Raw genomic sequence first — 1,954 nt, 5'->3', positions numbered from 1 at the left:
AGAGTTAACTGTAGGAATGACCATAGTTAATACACACTAAATCACTTGCTTCAGTCATTAGTAGACAGCACATCTAGTACTACAAGTCTTTTGATTTGGCATCAAATCCAACATACCTTTTATTATGCTTTTCACTTTTTGCTCTTCTGTTAGAAGTTGTTTCACTAAAAATATATTATAGCTCCATCATGTATTCATCTGACTAAATTCCACTGTGCATCTTCTTTCTTATTGCAGCTCAAATGATGAGACTTATGAAAGAGGTTCGAGGCAGAAATCAAACAGAAGTAACAGAATTTCTCCTCTTAGGACTTTCCGACAATCCAGATCTACAAGGAGTCCTCTTTGCATTGTTTCTGTTGATCTATATGGCAAACATGGTGGGCAATTTGGGGATGATTGTATTGATTAAGATTGATCTCTGTCTCCACACCCCCATGTATTTCTTTCTCAGTAGCCTCTCTTTTGTAGATGCCTCTTACTCTTCTTCCGTCACTCCCAAGATGCTGGTGAACCTCATGGCTGAGAATAAGGCCATTTCTTTTCATGGATGTGCTGCCCAGTTCTACTTCTTTGGCTCCTTCCTGGGGACTGAGTGCTTCCTGTTGGCCATGATGGCATATGACCGCTATGCAGCCATTTGGAACCCCCTGCTCTACCCAGTTCTCGTGTCTGGGAGAATTTGCTTTTTGCTAATAGCTACCTCCTTCTTAGCAGGTTGTGGAAATGCAGCCATACATACAGGGATGACTTTTAGGTTGTCCTTTTGTGGTTCTAATAGGATCAACCATTTCTACTGTGACACCCCGCCACTGCTCAAACTCTCTTGCTCTGATACCCACTTCAATGGCATTGTGATCATGGCATTCTCAAGTTTTATTGTCATCAGCTGTGTTATGATTGTCCTCATTTCCTACCTGTGTATCTTCATTGCCGTCTTGAAGATGCCTTCGTTAGAGGGCAGGCACAAAGCCTTCTCCACCTGTGCCTCTTACCTCATGGCTGTCACCATATTCTTTGGAACAATCCTCTTCATGTACTTGCGCCCTACATCTAGCTACTCAATGGAGCAAGACAAGGTTGTCTCTGTCTTTTATACAGTAATAATCCCTGTGCTAAATCCCCTCATCTATAGTTTAAAAAATAAGGATGTAAAAAAGGCCCTAAAGAAGATCTTATGGAAACACATCTTGTAGAGCCATGTTACCCATCATTTGTTACGTAGAAGAAAATACATTTTCATGTTAACTGTATTCTCTGATTGTTTAAGCTGTTTCTCTGTGTTAAAGTAGATAATTTAAAATGAAGTATACTTTTTAATATCCTAGTATCTCATATATATATACACACACACACACGGGTCCCTTTGATGCACCAATACACTAGATGAAGGTTGGGACTGGAAAAAGTATCAAAACACTTGGAATTGGCTAATCTGGACTTAAGTTTTAATTTAAATATTAAGCTTATCTCAGTCTGAGTTTTATTATACAAACATTGGTGTCTTTGGGTTCTGGGCAAACAAACTGAGACAGAGAGATATTTTTAGGCAGAAAGTTTATCAGAGTGTTCTCACAAACAATATATAGTGAGGGGAGCAGGATTGGACAGAAGGAGTTGAATTGTGACGAAGACTGAGCCACTGTTACATGGCGTTCTGCAGAGATGTCCTTCAGAGATGTCCCAAATTAAGAAAAAAGGAACAAGTATTTGTACCTCCACAATAGCCAATTTTTGGACATGATCACCCACTGAGAGGGGGTAATATTATCTTGGACAAGGCAATTCCCTTCAGCAGGGGAAATTCCTGGAGTGTAGGTCAGCTATCAGCTGTCAGTGGCCTATATGCCTGGAAGCTGGGGAAATGAATACTTCAACCTGAGAGGCAAATCTGGGTAGTGTGGGCCGGGCGCGGTGGCTCACGCCTGTAATCCCAGCACTTTGGGAGGCCGAG

At 41.1% G+C, this 1,954-nt stretch overlaps 1 protein-coding gene across 1 annotated transcript; it reads left to right on the top strand.

Moving 5' to 3' along the window:
* Nucleotides 1–245: 245 nt before the first annotated feature.
* On the top strand, nucleotides 246–1,196 carry OR5AP2 (olfactory receptor family 5 subfamily AP member 2). Its single transcript, NM_001002925.1, has one exon. The coding sequence runs from the start codon at nucleotides 246–248 to the stop codon at nucleotides 1,194–1,196; it is 951 nt and encodes a 316-aa protein (NP_001002925.1).
* The last annotated feature ends 758 nt before the right edge of the window (nucleotides 1,197–1,954 follow it).

This window comes from Homo sapiens, chromosome 11 (assembly GCF_000001405.40).
Source record: "Homo sapiens chromosome 11, GRCh38.p14 Primary Assembly".
Classification (NCBI taxonomy): domain Eukaryota; kingdom Metazoa; phylum Chordata; class Mammalia; order Primates; family Hominidae; genus Homo; species Homo sapiens.
The sequence above is the reverse complement of the archived record's forward strand: the minus strand, read 5'-3'. Positions and strand labels throughout refer to the sequence as shown.